Source organism: Homo sapiens, chromosome 1 (genome assembly GCF_000001405.40).
Source record: "Homo sapiens chromosome 1, GRCh38.p14 Primary Assembly".
NCBI lineage: Eukaryota > Metazoa > Chordata > Mammalia > Primates > Hominidae > Homo > Homo sapiens.
Window position 1 is genome coordinate 119,235,878 of NC_000001.11, and position 21,981 is coordinate 119,257,858.

The 21,981-nt window shown below is 40.3% G+C and overlaps 2 long non-coding RNA genes across 2 annotated transcripts in view; one reads left to right on the top strand and one right to left on the bottom strand.

Moving 5' to 3' along the window:
• The window catches only part of WARS2-AS1 (WARS2 antisense RNA 1), a 135,578-nt gene that overhangs the window by 95,482 nt on the left and 18,115 nt on the right, over nt 1-21,981 (top strand). The window lies entirely within an intron of this gene.
• On the bottom strand, nt 12,326-20,064 carry LOC107985192 (uncharacterized). The gene is made up of 2 exons (XR_001738199.2): nt 18,644-20,064; nt 12,326-12,460 (listed from the first exon to the last, which is right to left on the bottom strand). It is a non-coding gene; the product is annotated as an uncharacterized LOC107985192 (long non-coding RNA).

Consider the following 21,981-nt stretch of genomic DNA (forward strand, 5'->3'; position numbering starts at 1 on the left):
GTACCTCGACTTAATCTTTCTGAGTCTTGGTTTCCTCATCTGCAAAATGATTATAATACCACCCATTTCATAGGCTTGTTGTGAAGATAAGGTTACACAAGGACTTACAACAGCTCAGTAGATACTGAGTAAATAAATGGTTTACTTTCTCTGGCAGACCCCTCTGCCCAGATCCACAGTCACCAGTGTTCCTGGCAATCATTTGTTGGCTGCCATGTAGAAATAAATGACATGTCATCTAAGGCAAATAAGGTATTGTAGAAATAAATGACAAGTCATCTAAGGCAAATAAGGTATTGTAGAAATACATGACATGTCATGTATTGTCATATAAGGCAAATTGGGTATTGGTGACTGGATCTAAGTTTTCCCTTTTTCCAACCTTGAGGGATGGGAGTTAAGTTAGGAAAATGGATATTTTGTCTTTCTTTCTGTGTCAGAGACTTGTTGGTTAGGAGTAGGAGATGATGGCTATTTTGATGTCTCCGTTAATCATAGACTAGATGGTTACCAGGCAGCTGAAACATTTTCTGGCATGGTTGACTTACTGCTGCCCTATAGGGAGATAGCTTTACAGAGGTTCCCAAAGGAAACTCAACAATGTGTCCACTCCTCTTGGATATTATGCTAGGCACGTTCAAATGCAACATCTCATTTGCCCTTCAGATTTGCCATGGTAATATCTCCACTTTAAGGAAGAAAAGACTTAACTGAGAAGGATTGAATTGTTTGCCTGCATACTTATTTTTTTCAGTATCTATACTGAAACTAGAGGTAACATTGAGCCTGAGTTCCTTGTGAGCTGGTAGAAGATGAAGGAAATAAGAAAGGGTAAGGACCAAGCTTGTCAACACTGATTTCAAGTCTCCATTGCTTCTGCTGTGTACATCTCTGCAACGTTCTCAAGGCACCTCTGGAGTTGTCCAGCACACAGAGAATCTCTCCAGCCATCCACAGCACCCCTCAAAGCCTAAGCTCAGGAAGTCAGCCACAGCCCACTCTGCATGCCAGTGCAGACAGCTACCCATGGAAGGACCTGTTTCAGAACTCACTTTATTTCATCAATGAGCTTCATTTCACTGACAAGCAAACATGTCTAGGTCGGCCATGAGTGATTCTCTAGGGAGAGCTGAGTTACGGGATGATTCGCAAGTTTCTCATACATATATGATATATATGATATATGTATATATGAGATAGATATATATATATAATCTCACTTAATTCTTGCAACCACCCTATGAAGTAAACATTATTACTCTCTACAGACAAAAAAGTTCAAGGTGGTTAGGAGGTTTGCTGAAGGTCACAAGAAGTGGCAAAGCAGTAAGGCACAATGCTGTCTAATACTGAAGTCTTTCCACCTCACCGTAGGATCTCTCAAATAATTAATACTTACACTAAAATGGGGGGCATCAAACCTGGGCTCTGTGATTTAAAGTCTGCTGCTTTCCTAAATGAAATTCTTCCACTATAAAGTTAACTTTATCCCTTCATCCCCTATACCAAGATAAATTCATGGATCAGAGATTGGAAGAGTGATTGTTCCTTGTAAGGCATCTCTTAAATTTATGATCCTAGTAACTGGGGACCTCCTGCTGGATTAGCCTTGCATCTTTCCTCGCTTCCATCATAGAGGCTAACAAGACTGTTGATTCTTTCTTTCTAATGTTTCCTGTGTTCACTCCTGTCTATCCAGTCCCACTGTCACCACTCTCCTACATTATTTTAATAGTCTCCTAATTTCTTGCCTCCAAACTTTCCTTGTCTTTTCCCATTCTAAATCCTGCTGCTAGATAATCTTCTCAAAACATCATTTTGCAATGTCAGCTCTCATTCAGAAACCCTCCATTGACACCATGCAGCCATTTAGGCTGATAATGGAAAATAACAGTTAATGACATGATATGGAAAAAATGTTCAGAGTATGTTATTAAGTGAAAAGAAAACAGATTACAAAATACATAGAATGTTAATATTGGTGATCTGGGCCAGGTGCAGTGGCTCACGCTTGTAATCCCGTCACTTTGGGAGGCTGAGGCGGGCTGATCACCTGAGGTCAGGAGTTCGAGGCCAGCCTGGCCAACATGGCGAAACCCCGTCTCTATTAAAAATACAAAATTAGCTGGGCATGGTGGTGTGCAGTAAACCCAGCTACTTGGGAGGCTGAGGCAGGAGAATCACTTGAACCCAGGAGGCAGAGGTTGCAGTGAGCTGAGATCATGCCACAGCACTCCAGCCTGGGCAACAGAGCAAGACTCTGCCTCAAAAAAAAAAAAAAAAAAAAGTGGTGATCTGCGTGTGGCAGAATTATGAATGATTTTATCTTTTGCTTATCTGTAGTCCTTAAAATTTTTTGTAGTAAGGATTATTCTTGTAAAAAGATAAAAAAGCTACTATAAAAATAAGAAAAATACACTCAGAGTAGTGAAAAATAAAACAATAATGAGCTTCCAGTTTTTACAATTTCATTGGCAAAAAAGTAAAAGTTATCATAACCAGGGTTGGCAGGGAAATGGCATGCTCATACAATTGTCAGTGGGAATGCAAACTGATAACAATCTTTGTGGAAGGTGATGTGCAGGTTTCATCAAAGTGACAAATTCACATAAGCTTTGGCCCAATAATTCTAAGAGTCCATCATATAGAAAGATGGTTCTCAAAGTTTGATATAGACCAACAGCATCAATATCATCTGAGAACTTGTTAAAATGCATGATCTCAGGCCCCACCACTTACCTATTAAATCAGAATTTCTGGGGGTGAGATCCAGGAATTTGTGTTATAACAAGACCTCCAAGTGATTCTAATGCGTGTTTAGAATTTGGGAGCCACTGATATAGAAATACCCTTTCTAAGGAAGTACCTTTGTGTGAACAAGAGCCAATGATAAAAAGTTGCTAAATAGATTAGACTGATGTATCCTGTGAAATACAATGCATTGGTTAAAGAACAAAAGTATTAGCAAGGAGAGATCATTGGAATATATAACTTAGTAAAAAAAGAACAAGTTACAGAAATATATACCTATAATATTACTAACCAAAGTCAAAGTATACTTTATGTACTCATGAGTAAATGTTTTATTTACTCATAAGTAATAAAAAAATTCATTTATTACATATGTTTAAAAAAAATCCTCCCTTTGGCTTCTATTGCCTATAAGACAGAATCCAAACTTCTTAGCCTCATAATGAAGGTTCTATGTGATGTGCTTCAAACCTGATTCTCCAACTTCCCCCACCCTACCCCAGTATTTCTATAAAGAAACTCTGCTTTTTAATCAACCTGTTCTGAGAATGGCTTAATACTTAGTCTTATCTCCATTTTGTAGGTAGGGAAACTGAGAAGGGTGTCGGTGGAGCAAATCCTTGCCCACGGTCACATGGGCAGCATTTGAACCTGGAGCCAGTTCCCTGTGGTCCAACTCCAGTGCTTGCTCCATCCTCCAGACTGGTTGGCTAATTGTTTCCCAAACACTCTGGTATACACCTTTTTGCCTTTGTTTATGTCATTTTTCTTTCTTAAAATGCTCTGAATCAAGTCTTACATCCTCCACGAAGTTTTTCTTAGGAGGCCTAATCATGAGGAATCATCCAGGGTCACCACACATTGGGGGTAAACCTTTCATCATACGTGGAGCCTACTTTGCCTGTGGTTCTCTGTTGCACTTCAGGTCTATTTCTCCAAGAAGACTGTCACACCCTAGGGCAGGGACTGCTCTCTTCTTTTTTGTTCTCAGTATTTAATCTGCAATAAATGACTATAGTTGATGAAAATGATGATAGACTTGTACTAACACATATTTCTATTGATATGTTAGTAATTTGACTTCTGTAACAGCAGTGACCATCAGAACAAGCAATCAGAGAAGCAGACCAGTCCTTAGAAACCAGGAGCTGGGGTCGGGATGGAAATGAGACTTCTCTAGGAATACCTTTTCATATAGTTTTGACTTCTGAGTTATAGAAATGTCTTACTTATTCACAAAATAAAATTAAATATGAAAAGATGAAAAATAAACAAACCTTAAATCAAATACAAAAGCAAACAAATGAATCTAGCTGTATATCACATTGATAACCTCACCACACAGAGAAAAGAATTCAAGTAAAATTCTGAATATAGTACTCTGTGTTCACTACCTCAGTGGGAAATGTTCTAGAGATAAAAGTAATTCCAAAGAAATTTTAACTTTACTTAGTTGGTTACTTTTAAATAATTATAATGTTACTGGCATTCTGAAACTATTCTGTGCATGCTGTTGGACAAAACAAATAAGTAAGTATATCAGTGTCACTACATGGTAGGCAGAATAATGCTCCTTTTTCCAAGGTGTCCACACCTGGAACCTATGATTATGTTATGTTACGTGGCAAAAGCAACTTAGCAGGTGGAATTCAGGTTACCTTAAGATAGGAAAATTATTGCAGATTATCTCAGTGGGCCCAGTGAGTTTACATGGGCCCTTAACAGTGAAAGATGAGGGAAGAATCATAGGCAAGAAAGATGCAACAGCGAAGAAGAGGCAGGAGCAGGAGAGATTCAAAGCACCAGAAGGACTCAAACTGCCTTTGCTGGTTTTGAAGATGAAGGAAAGGGGCCATGTACCAAGGCACTCAGATGGCCTCTAGATGCTGGGAAAGGCCCTCAGTGGACAGCAAGAAAATGGGGACCTTAGTCCTACAACCACAAGGAACTAAATTCTTCCAACAACCTCAATGAGCAAGTAAATAGATTCTCTCCTAGATACTCCAGAAAGCACTACAGCCCTGTCAACACTTAGATTTTAGTCTGGTGTGACCCTTGTGAGACTGCTACAGAAATGTAAGATAATAAATATGTGCTGTTTCAAGATGATGCTGATAAACTTATGGTAATGTATATAGCAGCATAGTAGTTTGCTAGGGTTGCCATACCAAGTTACCACAAAATTGGTGGCTTAAACAACAGGAATGTATTGTCTCATGGTTCTATCCAAAATCAGAGTGTCAGCAGGGCGGTCCTTTCTGAGGGCTGTGAGAGAAGGATCTGTTCCAGGCCCCTCTCCTGGGCTGGCAGATGGCCATCTTTTCCCTGAGTCTTCAGATCATCTTCCCTCTGTATGTACCTCTGCACCTGAATCTCCCCTTTCACCAGAATTATTAGATTAGGACCCACCTTAATGACCACATTTTACTTGATTACCTCTGTAAATACCCTATCTCCAAATAAGGTTATATTCTGAAATAATAGGGGTTAGGGAATTCACTATATATAATTTAATTTATATACATACATGTACATATGACATACAATACATATTATATATAATATGTATTGTATATACATATATACACATTTCCCCCCAACCACGTCAACTGAAAAAAATCGAAAAGCAATAATATTCCTGCAGCAGTGAGCACAGCTAGCACCCAGATCTTGATTTCTAAGCAACATTTCCCACTAAAGAAATCAGGGCTCTCTGAAGAAATATGTGCTTCTGGCTCTGTTACAGGGCAAACACAAATGAGCCTGGGGAGTCCTGGTGTGCCAGAAAGAAAGGAAGGGCCTAAAGATCAATGGGGTCATGTCAAAAGGACACAGGATCCTGTTTGAAGAGGTTCCCAATGGCCAAATTTGGGGTAATTTCAATATCAAGAAGGAAACAACAGTAATGGATTATAATCCATTGAATTTTTTTAAGTCCTTGAGTCCATTATGATACTAAAAGAGCATACTAAAAAAAAAGAAAGCCATCTAATAAATGTAGAAGAGTGATAAAATTAGAAAATCACAATATTTTGGCCTCTAATGTAACAATTGATTCAGGCAAGGATCATCAACAGATACCAACCACTGAGTAAAAGGTTTTGGCATTTTAGGATATTTACAGAGCATCAGTATATTATCCCACAAATTATTTGTTAATTACAAAGGAGGAAAGATACCTTTTAAATGACAGATTTGGTGCCTACTACTTTATTTTATTTTATTTTTGAGATGGGAGTTTTACTCTTGTTGCCCAGGCTGGGGTGCAATGACACAATCTCGGCTCACCACAACCTCTGCCTCCCGGGTTCAAGTGATTCTCCTGCCTCAGCCTCCCGAGTAGCTGGAATTACAGGCATGCGCCGCCACGTCTGGCTAATTTTGTATTTTTAGTAGAGACAGGGTTTCTCTATGTTGGTCAGGCTGGTCTCGAACTCCCAACCTCGGGTGACCTGCCCGCCTCGGCCTCCCAAAGTGCTGGGATTACAGGCATGAGCCACCGTGCCCAGCCTGGTGGCTACTACTTTAAATGATCAAGCTTAGCATCACCAATATTGGAACAATCTGATATTCTGTGTGACTTCTGATAAGAGGCATTCATGATATGACATACATTGATGGGATATTTTTACCAAAAAATATTTAACTTGTATCTAACTGTGAAGAACAAACATGTAAATCCAGAATGTGGCACATTCTATAGACAATTGGCCTGGAGTCTTCAAAAAGGTCAATGTCATTAAAAAACAAAAACAAAACTACAACTGAAAAAGAAGATAGGCCAGCATGGTGGCTCACACCTGTAATTCCAGCACTTTGGGAGGCTGAGGCAGGTGGATCACCTGAGGTCAGGAGTTCCAGACCAGCCTGCCCAACATGGCGAAACCCCGTCTCTACTAAAAGTACAAAAATTAGCCGAGCACGGTGGCGGGCACCTGTAATGCCAGCTACTCAGGAGGCTGAGGCAGGAGAATCACTTGAACCCGGGAAGCAGAGGTTGCAGTGAGCCAAGATCACGCCACTGCACTCCAAACTGGGAGACAAGAACGAGACTCTGTCTCAAAAAAAAAAAAAAAAAAAAGAAGATAGAGGGATCATTTCCGATTAAAAGAAACTAAAGAAAAGTAGAGCGTAGAATGGTGGTTACCAGAGTCTGGGGGCAGGGAGGGTAAGCAATAGGGATAAGTTGACCAAAGGGTATAAAATTCCAATTAGGAAGAATAAGTTTTCAAGATCTATTGCACAGTAAGGTGACCATAGTAATAATGCGTTATATATTTCAAAATTGCTAAAGGAATAGATTTTAAATGTACTCACTAACAAAAAAAAAATAAATATATGAGGTGATAGATATGTTAATTGGCTTGATGTAATAATGTCATAATGTATATATATATCAAAACATCTCTTTACTCCATAAATGTACAATTATTCACTAATAAAAATTAAAAATTTTTAAAAAGAAACTAACCACTGGGCTCGATGGCTTACAGCTGTAATCCCAGCACTTTCGGAGGCCGAGACGGGCAGATCACTAGAGGCCAGGAGTACAAGACCAGCCTGGGCAACATGGTGAAACCCCGTCTCTACTAAAAATACAAAAATTAGCCAGGTGTGGTGGTGGTCTCCTGTAATTCCAGTTACTCAGGTGGCTGAGGCATGAGAATCACTTGAACCCAGAAGGCAGGGGTTGCAGTGAGCTAAGATCTCACCACTGCACTCCAGCTTGGGTGACAGAGTGAGACCCTGTCTCAAAATAAATAAATAAATAAAAAGATTAAAATAATAATAAAAGAAACTAACCAAAACACCAAATGCAATATATAATCTTGGCTAGATTTTCATTTTTTAAAAAAATGCTATTAAAAGACATTTTGGGGACAGTTTGGAAAATTTTAGTGGGAAATGTATATTAGCTAATATTAGGACATGTGTTGCTAATTTTTTTCCTAAGTGTGATAATGTGATTATGTCAGAGAACATTATATTCTTGGGAAATGTATCTGAAGTATTTGATTCAGTGCTCCGATATCTGCAATTTTAAACAGTTCAGAAAAAAATGTGATAAACGGCAGCCAACTCTTACCAGCTCTCGAGAGCAGATAAATATTTAGGAATTTTGCAAGCCATTTGTTAAGTCATTATTTGCTCAAAATAATCCATGGGCCAGGCGTGGTGGCTCACACCTGTAATCCCAGCACTTTGGGAGGCCAAGGCGGGTGGATCACGAGGTCAGAAGATCCAGACCATCCTGGCTAGCACAGTGAAACCTGGTCTCTACTAAAACTACAAAATATTAGCTGGGCATGGTGGTGGGCGCCTGTAGTCCCAGCTACTTGGGAGGTGAGGCGGGAGAATGGTGTGAGCCCAGGAGGCAGAGCTTGCAGTGAGCTGAGAGCGTGCCACTGCACACCAGCCTGGGCGACAGAGCAAGACTCCATCTCAAAAAAAAAAAAAAATCATCCATGGTGGGAATTCTTACACCACAGAAATTGGCAATTACTACAAATGAGGGTTTCTCCTATCCTAGATCCAGTTTATCAGCATACTACCGCATATGGAATCAAATGATAATAACTGGTGAAACATTTCAAGTGTACCTTGTGCTCAGTATGGTATATTTTCAACTTTTGTTAAGATGTGGAATTTTTCAAAATAAAAAGCTGGAAAAAATAGATGGGAAAAAAAATCCTATCTCCCTGGGAAATACTGGAAACCACAGAGAAAAGGATAATAGCAGAGAGACAGATCATGGACTGTCCCATGGCCACCTTGGGACTCTCCCACGGGAGGCTTTGAGATGTGTCGGTGGCTCCAGATCTGCTGACTGGGGACCTCTGTGGTGAGGCTGGCTGAAGTCAGCAGGAAAGGGGAAGGTTTCCTACTTAAGTTCAGTGTGCACCAGCCCTCTTTCCTTCTTTTCCCTCTGGGCCTGGAGCTGGGCTTCTGGGTTGGTGGATTTCCCGGGGTTTCCAGGATCCCATAGGAAGCTTCTAATTCCAATTCCTTTGGATGAAAAGGTCTAAAGGTAAGGGTAGGTGGCTTATGGCAATTGTGAGTGGCAGTCTGGGCCCCTCTTCATTTTCCATTCTCTCTTCCTTTCCGTTTGTCTTTCCACTGCTTACTCCCTGTGCCCCTACTCACTCCCCTCCTCTTCCCTCTCTGTACTATCAATTTTATTCAGAAATGTACCTCTGCCAGCTCAATTGCACCCACCCTGCTAGGACAGTCTCAAGACTCACCACCTCCACAAAGTCTCCCCACCATCATCTCTCTCCTTACCATACCTCGTGGCGTTGATGTCTGGAATTACACCCTGTCATGGACTGTTGCAGGACTGAGTTGTGTGGCTGATTTTGTTTTGTTTTGAAACAAGGTCTCATTCTGTTGCCCAGCCTGGAGTGCAGTGGAGCAATCACGGCTTACTGCAGCCTCAACCTCCCAGGCTGAAGCAATCCTCCCACCACAGCCTCCTGAGTAGTTGGAGCTACAGGCACACACCACCACACCTGGCTAATTAAAAAAAATTTTTTTGGAGAGGTGGGGCCTCCCCTATGTTACCAAGGCTAGTCTCAAACTCCTGGGCTAAAGTGATCCTCCTGCCTCAGCCTCCCAAGGTGCTGGGATTACAGGCTTGAGCCACAGCACCTGGCCTGATATCTGCAAGCTCCTATAGGGCAGGAACTGGATTCCATATACATTTGCTCTGTAAAAAAACACTCTTTTTGACAGGACATCATGGCTCATGCCTATAATCCCAGCACTTTGGGAATCTGAGGCAGGAGGATAGCTTGAGCCCAGGAGTTTGAGACCAGCCTTGACAACATGGCGAAACCCCATCTCTACTAAAAATACAAAAATTAGCCAGGCGTGTTGGTGCACACCTGTAATCTCAGCTATTCAGGAGGCTGAGACATGAGTCTCACTTGAACCTGGGAGGTGGAGGTTGCAGTGAGCCAAGATTGTGCCACTGCACTCCAGCCTGGGCCACACAGCAAGACTCTGTCTCGGAAAAAACAAACAAACATCCCACTCTTTTCTCCCCAGTACAGGCTAACATAAAATATCTATTGAATTCAATCGAATTCCTTCCCTCTCCCTCTCTTCTCAATTCTTCTTGTTTCTTTTTCCTTTCCCTCTCCATCTCTTTCTCCTTTTTGATTCCCTAGGTTTGTCCCAGGTCGGCTAGTGTTCTTTTAGCTCATTTTTGCCCCTTGCTTTGCTCCCTCTGCTTGGCTCGCCAAGGCTGAAGGTGTGGCTGGACCCTGACTCTGGGTCTCTTCTCAGCCCAAGAGCTTCTCCTTGCTCAGGGAACTTTTGAGCACCATGGCAATAGGAAAGGCTGTGTCAGAGCAATGTAGATGCATTCTACACAGTCTCCCTTCAGGCTCTCCATCCCCAAAGACTGTTGGCTTCACAAAGGGAGTGTTGTCAGGAAGCATGGGACTCTCAGACATCTGCATCACACATTTTTTTTCTCTCCCATTCACTCTCCACCCACCACCAACCCCCTTGAATTCTCCAGACTGATTATTGTGGTAAAATATCACACATTTTCTCAATCTGTATGCAAACCAGGTAGGATTGACAGCTGAAGAAAGCTGCACGTTGCCTGGGCTTAAAGTTATCTGTTTTCCCTCTGAGGGAAAATCTTTGAGCTCTGTGACAGTGCCTTGAAGCCATGGCCCTTGTCCTAGACTGCCCTGGCCCAGGCAAGCGCCTGACCCCTACTAATGTATAGGACCTTTAGCAGCAGAGAGTGGGGGAGGAGGTAAACAGAACCCCCTGCATGCCAGCGATTCATGTTCTCTGAAGGGACCAGAATGTTATTAGAAACCTTGCCTGCCAAATGCTAGGCAAATGTAACCAATTTATTAATGCAGGGAATCCAATATGTGAAATTGGACCAAAAGGAGAGAGGCCAGCCACCCTCTCTCCACACTTCCTGATCTCTAACAGGGGTGGAAGGAGGGTGATGTACAAAGAGTTATGTCTTCTGCAAGAGGACGTTGCTGTCCTAATCACATGTGATAGTGACGACAGATATTCCTGACTGGAGCTTCAAAGGGCTGGGAGATAATTGTATCCACTATCCCCGGCTGGCTGTGAGGCTCAGCCTGCAGCTTGCAGGTTGTAAAGCACACTGGGTAGGAAGATCGGGAGCTTGGTCTCCTCTGTCCCAGTTCTGCAGCTCTGCAATAGAGACCAGGTGAAAATGGACGAGTAAGAATATCTCTCAGTGCCTGCAATGCTGACATCATATGCTGGTCACTTAAGCTCTTTCCTGCAAAGGGTCTTAGATTGGTCTCAATGTTGCATGGGTGTTTGCAGCTTCTCTCCAGCAAAGGAGAGGGTTCCTTCAGGGCAGAATGCATTTTGATATGCCTCATTGTCATTGATTTGCCCTCTAACAGGTGATTGAGTTGAAAAAGATGTTGGCAGCAACATTTATTAAAGGATTATTTTATTTATATATATATATATATATATAGTTATTACACATTACCTCATTTAATCCCCACACCAATACTTTATGAGGTAGATATTGTTATTCTCAATTTTCACTTAAAGAAATTGAACTCAGAAAGTTGACCAACTTGCCCAAGATTATAGGTATAAGTGGACAAGATTTGAGCCCATGTCTGTTTAACCATGTTCTTCACCACCTGGGTTTAAGGAGTAGAAACCCCCAAAATTTGTGGATAATCTGGTAGACTTGTCAAGAAGCAAATGTGGGGAATTTTCTGGCTAAGGATGCACTGGGAAGTCTTTTATTTTGGATTTCTAAGTTTCAAAGAATTGGTATACAGTGAAAACAATGGACACACTTTACAGAGCAAAAATAATCTTTATCATGATTCAGGTAAATTTTAGAATCTTAGAAGGTATCAGGCTCATTTGAGTGGGCATCAGTGTCATTGTACAAGACCATGTGGGGGAGAGATAAAGATCTGGTTGCTTTAGATTCTTAGCTATTTAGATTCTAGATGAATGTCATCTATTTTGTAATGTGTCATTGTGTGTCATCTCTCAACACTAAAGGCAAGATGGTAGTCCGATTAGTAAATTTTGAATTACATGGGAACAGATTTTGAAGACAGAAAATAAATCAAAGATTTAAAAAAAGGAAAAGAGAATCAAAAATTTTTTTAAAAGAATAAAAATAACGAAAAATGAACACATAAAAAAGAAAGAAAAGAATTTTAAAAATTGAACTAGTCTCAGAAATAATACTTTTATAATGTTACCAACACTTGTTAACTGAAGATAGTATTTTTAGTTGATTATGAATATGACTGAAGATGTTGGTGAAGTCCCCGTGCCCAAATGCTGTGAAATTCATAAGTTCATTTCTTCTGGAAATGTACCCGATGCGTTACAGTGTCGTATATGGATTGGCATGATGTGATGTGCCTGAGGAAGGGCAGAGCTACCTTCCATTCTCTGGGTGCCTTCCCTCCTCCTGCACTTTTCAGTGATGGTTTCAGGTTCCTGAAGGCTACCGTGTGCCACAAGGCAGGAGCTGCCATCTCTCCATTTGGAGAGGAGGAGGGTCAATTCAGCATCACTGAGATGGGGAAGAAAAGTTCAGACTTTATTTTGAATTAAAATCCAGCCCAACTCTTCTTGCTTGTTTTGGTATCTAGAAGAGCTTTCCCTATTCTCTCCTTCTTCTCCTATAAGCTGTTCACTTCCTTCGCCAAATTCTCTGAGGAGAATAAATCATTCAGTAAATAATAATCTGTAAGGCAATAAAGTTATGTATTTACTTAAAAACAATTTCTTAATGTCTGAAAAGGCAAAATAATCTTGTTGTCCCCACAATATAACAGCAGTGAAAGACCTCTTAGGACTTGGAAATTGGTGTGTCTCTGAGAGGTCAATTAGTAAAATTCACACTCAATGCAGCAAAGTCATCTAGCATAAGAATGACAACTCCAAAAATAATAATGGTAGCAATAAAAATGCAAAGGAATAAGTCATGCTACGTAAGTGTGAATCCAATCAAAAGTTGAGATGGGAATCCTCCAAGAAGATATGACTGAAATGTAAGTGTATTTTAGTATGAGGAAATAGAAAGAAATATGTTCTATTCTATCTGGAGAATGACCATAAACAGAGGTTGGCCCCAAAGGGGAAAAAGGAAGATCTGAAGAATGCTGATCTTGATTTGTTTAGAGGTGAAGATGCCATTTTTAAATGGCTTGGAGAATTGAAGTTTTCTTGGTGAAAGTTTACCCGTAGTAAAACTTCACGGTTCAGCAGCTGGTAGATCAAGTCTGGTCCACACTGCATTGAGTCATACTGTTTTTTAAAGTTGAATAAGTTGTTAACTAATTTCACATAGAAAAATCCATATATCGAGCCTTTCATGAAAAATTGGGAAAACCTAGATTAACCAGGCTGGCCACAATGGGCTGTAGCTATGACGCCATGGCTGCCTCCTTTAGAAGGGCATGCACTCTCCAGTTGGCATAGTCCCCACTATTCCCTATCATCGCCTGCTCCCTGACACGCTTCACTCATCTATGTTACACTCTTCTGAATCTGTTGGATTTTGAATGTGTGACTCCCTAATGGGTAAGCATGCCTTCAGCTACTTGAGCTGAAATTCACTTCTTGACACCCTGAACTCTCCTTGTTCTGATTCCATGCTCAGCATGCAACCTTCTGAGAATTTGGCTTCTCGTGTAATTTGCCTGTAAGGAAAGAATGCATTGATCTTCTGCCCTGAGCATCTTGGTCTATACGAGGAAGTGCATAGAGTAAATGCAAAAGGCTTAGGCTTTGGGGTCTGACAGGTCTGGTTCCAATTGCCGCACTGAGACTTACTAGATAAGGTCATCATGAGGCCTCTTGGCACCCTGCCAGGCATCTTTTCCTGGAGATGTTGCCCTGGGTCATCTTGGGTTATATGCCAGAATATTGAAATTGTAAAAGCATTTTTATAAGCAACATTGATACGTCTAAGTCACAAATTACAGCAGCTCCATATCCATCCAACCAATCAACAAACTTGAGCTTCTCTAGAGATCGTGGACATCTCAAATGAATAGAAAGCAATTGATAGAAACACAAACTTTTTGATGGTTATCTGTTCCAAAGAGGAAGAAGGGGAAATGGCAAATAGAACCTGGATTTTGAACTTAGCCAACTTGTATTCAAGTCCTAGTTCTTTCCTTTATTAACCATGTGAACTTAAGAAAGCTGGTCTGAGTCACCAAGATAAAAATTTCCTCCCTACACACCTAACAGAAACTTTGTGAGGATCAAATGGAATCCTCACATAGGGAAGACACTATGTAAACTGAAAAATGTATGAAATTGTTGGTATCAAATTTTTTATAATCCCCAGTGTATGCAAGAGTAGTAGTAGCAGAAGAAGAAGTCAAGAAGCCGAGGCGGGTGGATCATGGGTCAGGAGATCGAGACCATCCTGGCTAACACAGTGAAACCCCATCTTTAGTAAAAACAAACAATTAGCTGTGTGTGGTGGTGGGCACCTGTAGTCCCAGCTACTCGGGAGGCTGAGGCAGGAGAATCACTTGAACCCGGGAAACAGAGGTTGCGGTAAGCTGAGATCACGCCATTGCACTCCAGCCTGGGCAACTAGAGTGAAACTCCATCTCAACAAACAAACAAACGAAAAAGAAGCCTACACCAGGGTTTCTAGCCTGCCGGGGTAGCATTCAGAACCAAAAGATTAGTGCCAGGCCTGTAGCTACCAAGCCTGGACTGTAAATCAAATCAGACTCTGGTTTGTGAAATAAGCAATAACATCCAGTGATGATTAGGGTGTGGAGGAAAGAGTCTCACAAACACTGTTAGTGAAAGTATAAACTGGAACAAAGAAGGGAATTTGGCAGGACCTATCAAAAATTTTAATGTGCATACATACCTGTTGACTCAGCAATTTGCTTCTAAGAATTTATACTATAGAAATCCTTGTACAAATGGGCCAGAATACTTGTATTACAATGTTCATGGCAACATTATTTATAATAGCAAATTAATAGAGGGGTGATTAATACATTTTACATATTTCTACTATGACTGCTATGTAGCCATCAACAAGAATAAGGTAGACACATATATATTGAAATGGAATGGAATCTGTAATATGTGAATGAGAAAAAAAAAAGAAGTTGCAGTATAATATATACAGTGTGACGGGGCCAGGCGCGGTGGCTCACACCTGTAATCCCAGCACTTTGGGAGGCCGAGGCAGGCGGATCATGAGGTCAGGAGATCGAGACCATGGTGAAACCCCGTCTCTACTAAAAATACAAAAAAAAAAATTAGCTGGGTGCAGTGGCGGGCACTTGTAGTCCCAGCTACTCGGGAGGCTCAGGCGGGAGAATGGCGTGAACCCAAAAGACGGAGCTTGCAGTGAGCTGAGATCACGCCACTGCACTCCAGCCTGGGCGACAGAGCCAGACTCTGTCTCAAAAAAAAAAAAAAAAAAAAAAAAAAAATATATATATATATATATATATATATATATATACACACACACACATATATAAATACATATATATATACACACACACATATATATACACACATATATACACATATATATATACACATATATATATACACACACACACACATATATATATATATATAGTGACCATACTCAAAAATATAATAACCTTGAAAAATTCTAAAGGTATACAGGTCTAATTTTTACCATTGGTTTCCACTGGGGAGTGAGAGTAGAGTGTGAGAATGGCACTCTTGCTTTGTATTTTGTATACTCTTAAGTTACTTGAAGTTTTACAATGATCATGCAGTACTTTTTTAATTTTTTAAAAAAATACAATTAAAAATCAAAAAGAGGCCGGACACAGTGGCTCACGCCTGTAATCCCAGCCGAGGCAGGGAGGCCGAGGCAGGTGGATCACCTAAGGTCAGGAGTTCAAGACTAGCCTGGCCAACATGGTGAAACCCCATCTCAACTAAAAATACAAAAATTAGCTTGGCGTGATGGTGTGTGCCTGTAGTCCCAGCTACTCGGGAGGCTGAAAGAGGAGAATCACTTGAACCCAGGAGAAGGAGGTTGCAGTGAACCAAGGTCATGCCACTGCACTCCAGCCTGGGCAACAGAGCAAGATTCTGTCTCAAAAACAAAACAAAACAAAATCAAAAAGAAAAACGTTAAACTAGTATTTTAACCAGGAACAAGAAAAATAAAGAGCTAAAGCTGACAGTAGTAGTAAGGCCAAGGAATACAAGCATGGACACAGAGCCTGGAGATTCCCATGACTGGAGTTTCCTTACTAGTTCTTCCCACAGGCCTGACCACTGGCATTTCAGAACCAACCTGTTTCCCGGACTTGTGATGCTCTGGCAGCAGAGCCAATCAATGTTTGCATCATTGTTGCTCCTGCTGCAGTACAGGCAGCTGTTGTTCTATTCCTGAAATTCAGGGTTGCAACCCTTGGTCTCAAAGTGAAGAGTCATGTCCACAGGTCAAGGAGCTAGGGCTTCTAAAAGAGGACGTCCCTGCTGTTTTTTAGAATTTAACTGGACTATTGTGACTACTATCTCTGTACCTTGACTTCTGTGCTTTGCTTCCTTATTAACTCCTTATGACTTAGACCTTAGATTTGCCCATAGATTCTGTTTCTGCCTCTGTTCCACTTGAGTGTCTTCTCTTGAGTTTACCTACTGTCAGATTCTGGCCAATTCTATGACTCAGATTTTTTTCTGGGACTCTATTTGGACATTTTCCTTACACTTTCTTTCATTGCCCAATCCTCTTCCAAAGCTGCTATTATCCTGTCTTAACATTGACATGGCCAGTCAAGAGGCCAGGATGGGCTGGGGAGAAGGGATACCAAAAAACAGAAGTTCCCCACGTACGGGGCACTTGCCGTTGGGGAAGAAGTTGTTCTCAATTTCACGTGAGAATCCTGGTGAGATGACTGAGAAATCAGTGAGAATGTCATGCCGGAGTCACAGTGCTGTGGTTTCTAACAGCCTCTATACTTTGGAAGCAACCTGTCTAAAGTGGTATGTATTTCTTAAGTTATAACTATATGCAGGAAAATGGAGGGCCACCAGCTTGAGCCAATCTGTCTCTCTTAGTTTGCTTGGACACTGACCTCTCCAAATGAGGATTTTTATTTATTTTGTAATTCATGATATATCAAGAACATGTGGAAAGAGTCCAGGAGTAAACTTAAATTTCTTTTAAACCATACAGTGTGGATCAGAACCATGGCTTTGCATAGTTAAGGACCTTTCTTCTCATGCTTCTCAACAAGCAGGCCGGGGTGAGATTTGTGCATTGACAAGGGAGATGGTTAGAGAGATACGGCTTCTTCCAAGACTGGAATTGAAACCCAACCTCAATTAAGTTAAGAAATTCTCAATTAAGACTGTCTGGCCCTCTTAGCCCTGCCAGCTTTTAAGAGCAGACACAGGATCTCCTTAGGACCCAGGACTTCTTGCCTTCAGTAAAGCAAACACCTGAGGTGGGGGTGGGGGGTGGGGGGCGGGGGGGCGTGGTTGGAATTTTCTGCTTTTATTGGAGGCAATTTTAGACTGGTGAGTGGGCAAAAATCTGACCTGAATCCTAATCTCTTAGAGCCCATCTCTGATTTCTTGCTCTACCACCCCATTACCTGGCCCACATGGCTTAGATTATTGAATCTTGATCCTTGAACATGGACTGAGGTATATGGTGGCTGTAGCATATTGTAATAAAATTCCTTATATATTTTTCATTTCTTCATGCCTCTTAAAGTAATCTTTTGGCATGAATGGACATTCTCCCTTTGAATCCCAATTCTGAATTTCCTACCTAACTAATGCTAGGGAGGAGAGGTAAAAGGACTACATAAAGAAAACACACTGCTTTTTTTTACCCTAGTGTTTTATCAGGAAAAACATTACATTTGGAGTCAGCCAAGGTTCGTATTTCATCTTACCAAGAGTATATGTTTGCATGAGTCACACAAAAATGAAAGAGACAATAGTAATAATTCCTGTCTTACCATTTTGTTGAGATTGGTAAACAAGAAAGTGCCTACAAATGAACACTGTAATATATTGTACAAATATTATTTTTGTTGTTATTATTACATGGCATGAGTGAAATAATACTAATGTGTTTTCTGCATTTTAAGATATGATTTTGTAAGTAAGAAAAAATAATATAAATAGTCACAGTCTAGTATATAACCAGTTTAAATTTCCAGGAGAATCTATAAAATGTATATTCATTTTCGCATTAGAATCACAAATTGTTCATTGGTTGCCTTGAAACTCTGAAAGGAAAGATTGCTTTTCTCTCTGAACTTCAATAAAAGATTTATTTCCCTAATAGAAATCGTTGGATATCTCTACATAGTGATAATAATTCATTATTATATGTATTTATGTTTGTGGATATGTAGATAAATATGTAGCTCTAGACAGATTATCTGTCTATCTATCTACATATGTAACTATCTATTAAGGGAAAAAGGGCCTTACTGAAAAGAAAAAAAAGATGGAAATTTTCTGCTTTTGTCAAAGGCAATTTTGGCTGGGCAAGTGGACAAAAACGTGACCTGAATTCTATTCTGTGAGAGCCCAGCTCTAATTTCTTGCTCAATTACCCTGTTACCTGGCCCACACACTTTAGGTTATTGAACCTGGATCCTTGAACATGGACTAAAGGATATAGAGGTGGTGGTAAAACTGGTAAAGTTTGTAGGTAAGTGGGAGCCACACAGAATCATGTACTCTGGCCTGCTTGTGGGAATTAAAATCAAGTAACTGCTCGTCATGTGCCCATGAAAATCCCAGAGACGTTTTCAAACTGTTGTCAGCCTGGTTTTTGTTTTATTTTGGCAACATGTCAATCTATGCCAGTAGGAGCATGTGTGCTCACACTTACTCATCTCCTCATTCCATTGGTATCCAGTGGTCTATGGGCAGGTCCCTCTGCTAAGCACTGGGAATACAAAGGTGACTGAAAGGTCCTCCTGTTAATAGGTAAACAAAAGCAGCCAAGAAAATACATTCAATACACAGCACACCCAGAAGCCAAAAAGGAAATTTTAAGAACTTAAAATTTAAAACATTTATATGGCAAAAAAATAAAAAATAAAAAAATCCATAGCCAAAGTCTAAGGACAAATACTACATTGGTTGTTCAAAATAAATGTGACAGATAAATGGCTACTTAATTTTCAAAAAGTTTTACCAAATTAAAAAAAAGAAAAGAAAAGAAAACAATAACTACATGCAAGTAATATAAACAGGTAGTTCTCAGAAAAAGATAAAATACAAATGTGATGATTAATATTGAGTGTTAACTTGATTGAAGGAGACAAAGTATTGTTCCTGGATGTGTCTGTGAGGGTGTTGCCAAAGGAGATTAATATTTGAATCAGTGGATTGGGAGAGGCAGACCCACCTTCAATCTGGGTGGGCATCATCTAATCAGCTGCCAGCGCGGCTAGGATAAAGCAGGCAGAGGAATGTGGAATGAGCAGACTTGCTGAGTCTTCTGGCCTTCATTTTTCTTCCATGCTGGATGCTTCCTGTCCTCAAACATCAGACTCCAAGTTCTTCAGCTTTTGGACTCTTGGACTTACATCAGTGACTTGCTTGGAGCTCTCAGGCCTCAGGCCACAGACTGAAGGTTACACTGTTGGCTTCCCTGCTTTTGAGGTTTTGGGACTCCGACTGGCTTCCTTGCCCCTCAGCTTGCACACAGCCCATTGTGGGACTTCACAATGTGATCATATGAGCCAATAGTCCTTAATAAAGTCCCCTTTTTATATACGTCTGTCCCATTAGTTCTGTCTGTCTAGGGAACCCTGACTAATACAACAAATGACCTGAAATATATGAAAAGATTCTCAACCTGACTGAAAATACTTAAATGCAATCAAAACAGCAAAGAGACATTTCATCAAAAAGGGAAACACTAGAAAGTTCTGCTATATGTGGGGTTGGAAAGAAAAGATTAAAATAAACACATTTGTATACTGTTGGTGGGAATTTAAATTGGTGCAAAATTTTTGGAGTACAACTTGGCAACATATTTTAAAATTTTAAATGTCCTTTGATGCACTACTAGGAATTTATCCTAAATATATACTTACAAATGTAACCTAAGATGGACAGTATTGTAAAAATTGAAAATAACCTGAGTATTCATCAATTTTATCATTAAATAAAGTTATTTATTGCTACAGTTATCTTTTATTGCTTTTATTTAATTATTCATTAAAGTTACTGCTTTATTGCTACAGGAATACTATTTGGCCATTACTATATATATACATTTTTTTGAGACAGAGTCTAGCTAGCTCTGTCAACCAGGCTGGTGTGCAGTGGCGTGATCTCGGCTCACTGCAATCTTAGCCTCCTGGGTTCAAGCCATTCTCATGCTTCAGCCTATGGAGTAGCCAAGATTACAGGTACTTGCCAGCACGCCTGGCTAATTTTTGTATTTTCAGTAGAGACAGGGTTTCACTATGTTGGCCAGGCTGGTATTGAACTCCTTGGCCATTACAATCTTTTCTTTTCTTTTCTTTTCTTTTCTTTTCTTTTCTTTTCTTTTCTTCTCTTTTCTTTCTTTCTTTCTTTTTCTTTCTTTTTCTTTCTTTCTTTCTTTCCTTCTTTCTTTCTTTCTTCCTTCCTTCTTTCCTTCCACCTTGCCTTGCCTTGCCTTGCCTTGCCTTGCCCTGCCCTGCCCTGCCCTGCCCTGCCCTGCCCTGCCCTGCCTTTCTCTCTTTCTTTCTTTTTCTTCCTTTTTTATGGAGTTTTGCTCTTGTTGCCCAGGCTGGGGTGCAATGCTCTGATCTCGGCTCACTGCAACCTCCATCTCCCAGGTTCAAGTGATTCTCCTGCCTTAGCCTCCCAAGTGGCTGAGATTACAGGCGCCTGCCACCATGCCCGGCTAATTTTTATTTTTAGTAGAGATGGGGTTTCACCATGTTGGTTAGGCTGGTCTCAAACTCCTGACCTCAGGTGATCCGCCCTCTTCAGCCTCCCAAACTGCTGAGATTACAGGTGTAGGCCAGTGAGCCTGGCCAGCCATTACAATCTTAAAGTAGATGTCTATGTGTTGGGATAAAAATGTTTTCTCATATAAGTGAAGAAAGCAAGATGCAGAGTAGCATATTTAATATTATCTTATTTATAAATAAAAAAGATTATGGGTAACGTAGAGTGATAGATACATAAATAATTTTTCTGAAAGTTAACCAGAAAGTGTTAATAGTTGGGCACAAAGATCTGTTGGTGGTGGTATGACATGTTTTACTTTTCTTTTTCTACCTCTCTCTCTCTTTTTCTATGTGGCTACATTCCTATTATTTAAATAAAATAAATTAAAAAGTTAAAAGCACACTGCCATATGTTGTATGATAGAGGTGGTGGGTTCATGGGATACAAAGGACAGGCATCTGAACCAGGATAGACAAGGGTAATGTCAGAGAAGACTTCCTGTATCAAAGGATGCCTGGATCAAAGGATGCCTGGGCTTCATTTCTAAGGGTAAGAAGTTGTTAGATGAAGATTGAGGTATGGGTAAAGGAATGGTATTTGCAAAGGCATGGAGATGAGAGTGAAGGCCAGACATGTTTAAGAAATTGTTTTACAAATGTTTTGTTGGAGTGCAGAGTAGTCAGCAAATTAAAAAGTGGGATATGTAGGTGTCAAATCACCTAAGGCCTTAAATAGCCTCCTAAGGACTTTGGACTTTCTCCTAAAGCAAGGAGAAACAACTAAATAATTTTAAATGAAAAAGTGACCTGACTAAAATCCTTAAAACCTTACTGAATAAATGCGAAGTTGCTCAATAATCCAAGTATGTTAGAAGTCTCGCTGTATGCACAACATCGCAGAAGGGCCATCCTGGGTCAGCTAACCTGGGATGCAAAAAGTATAACTCCATTCCTTGGAAACAGCTTTAAAGATGTGAGTTCTTCACATAATATTTGTTCATTCATTTATTCATACTAATAAAAACAAATATTAAGTATATTTTTATATTGAGTATATGTTATAAGGAAAGCAAATATTCTAAGCTTTGAGAGCAAAGGTGCAAAATGCATTGTCTCTGTCATCAGAAAATTTAGAATGATAATCAAAGTGCAGTCTGATAAGTTCTACAGTGTACATAATATGGTGGAAACAGCAGAGGGAGTGCTTAACTTCTTGGAGGAATTAGAAAAGACTTTGCAAAAGTGGTGACATTTAAAATGGGCCTTAAGAGTT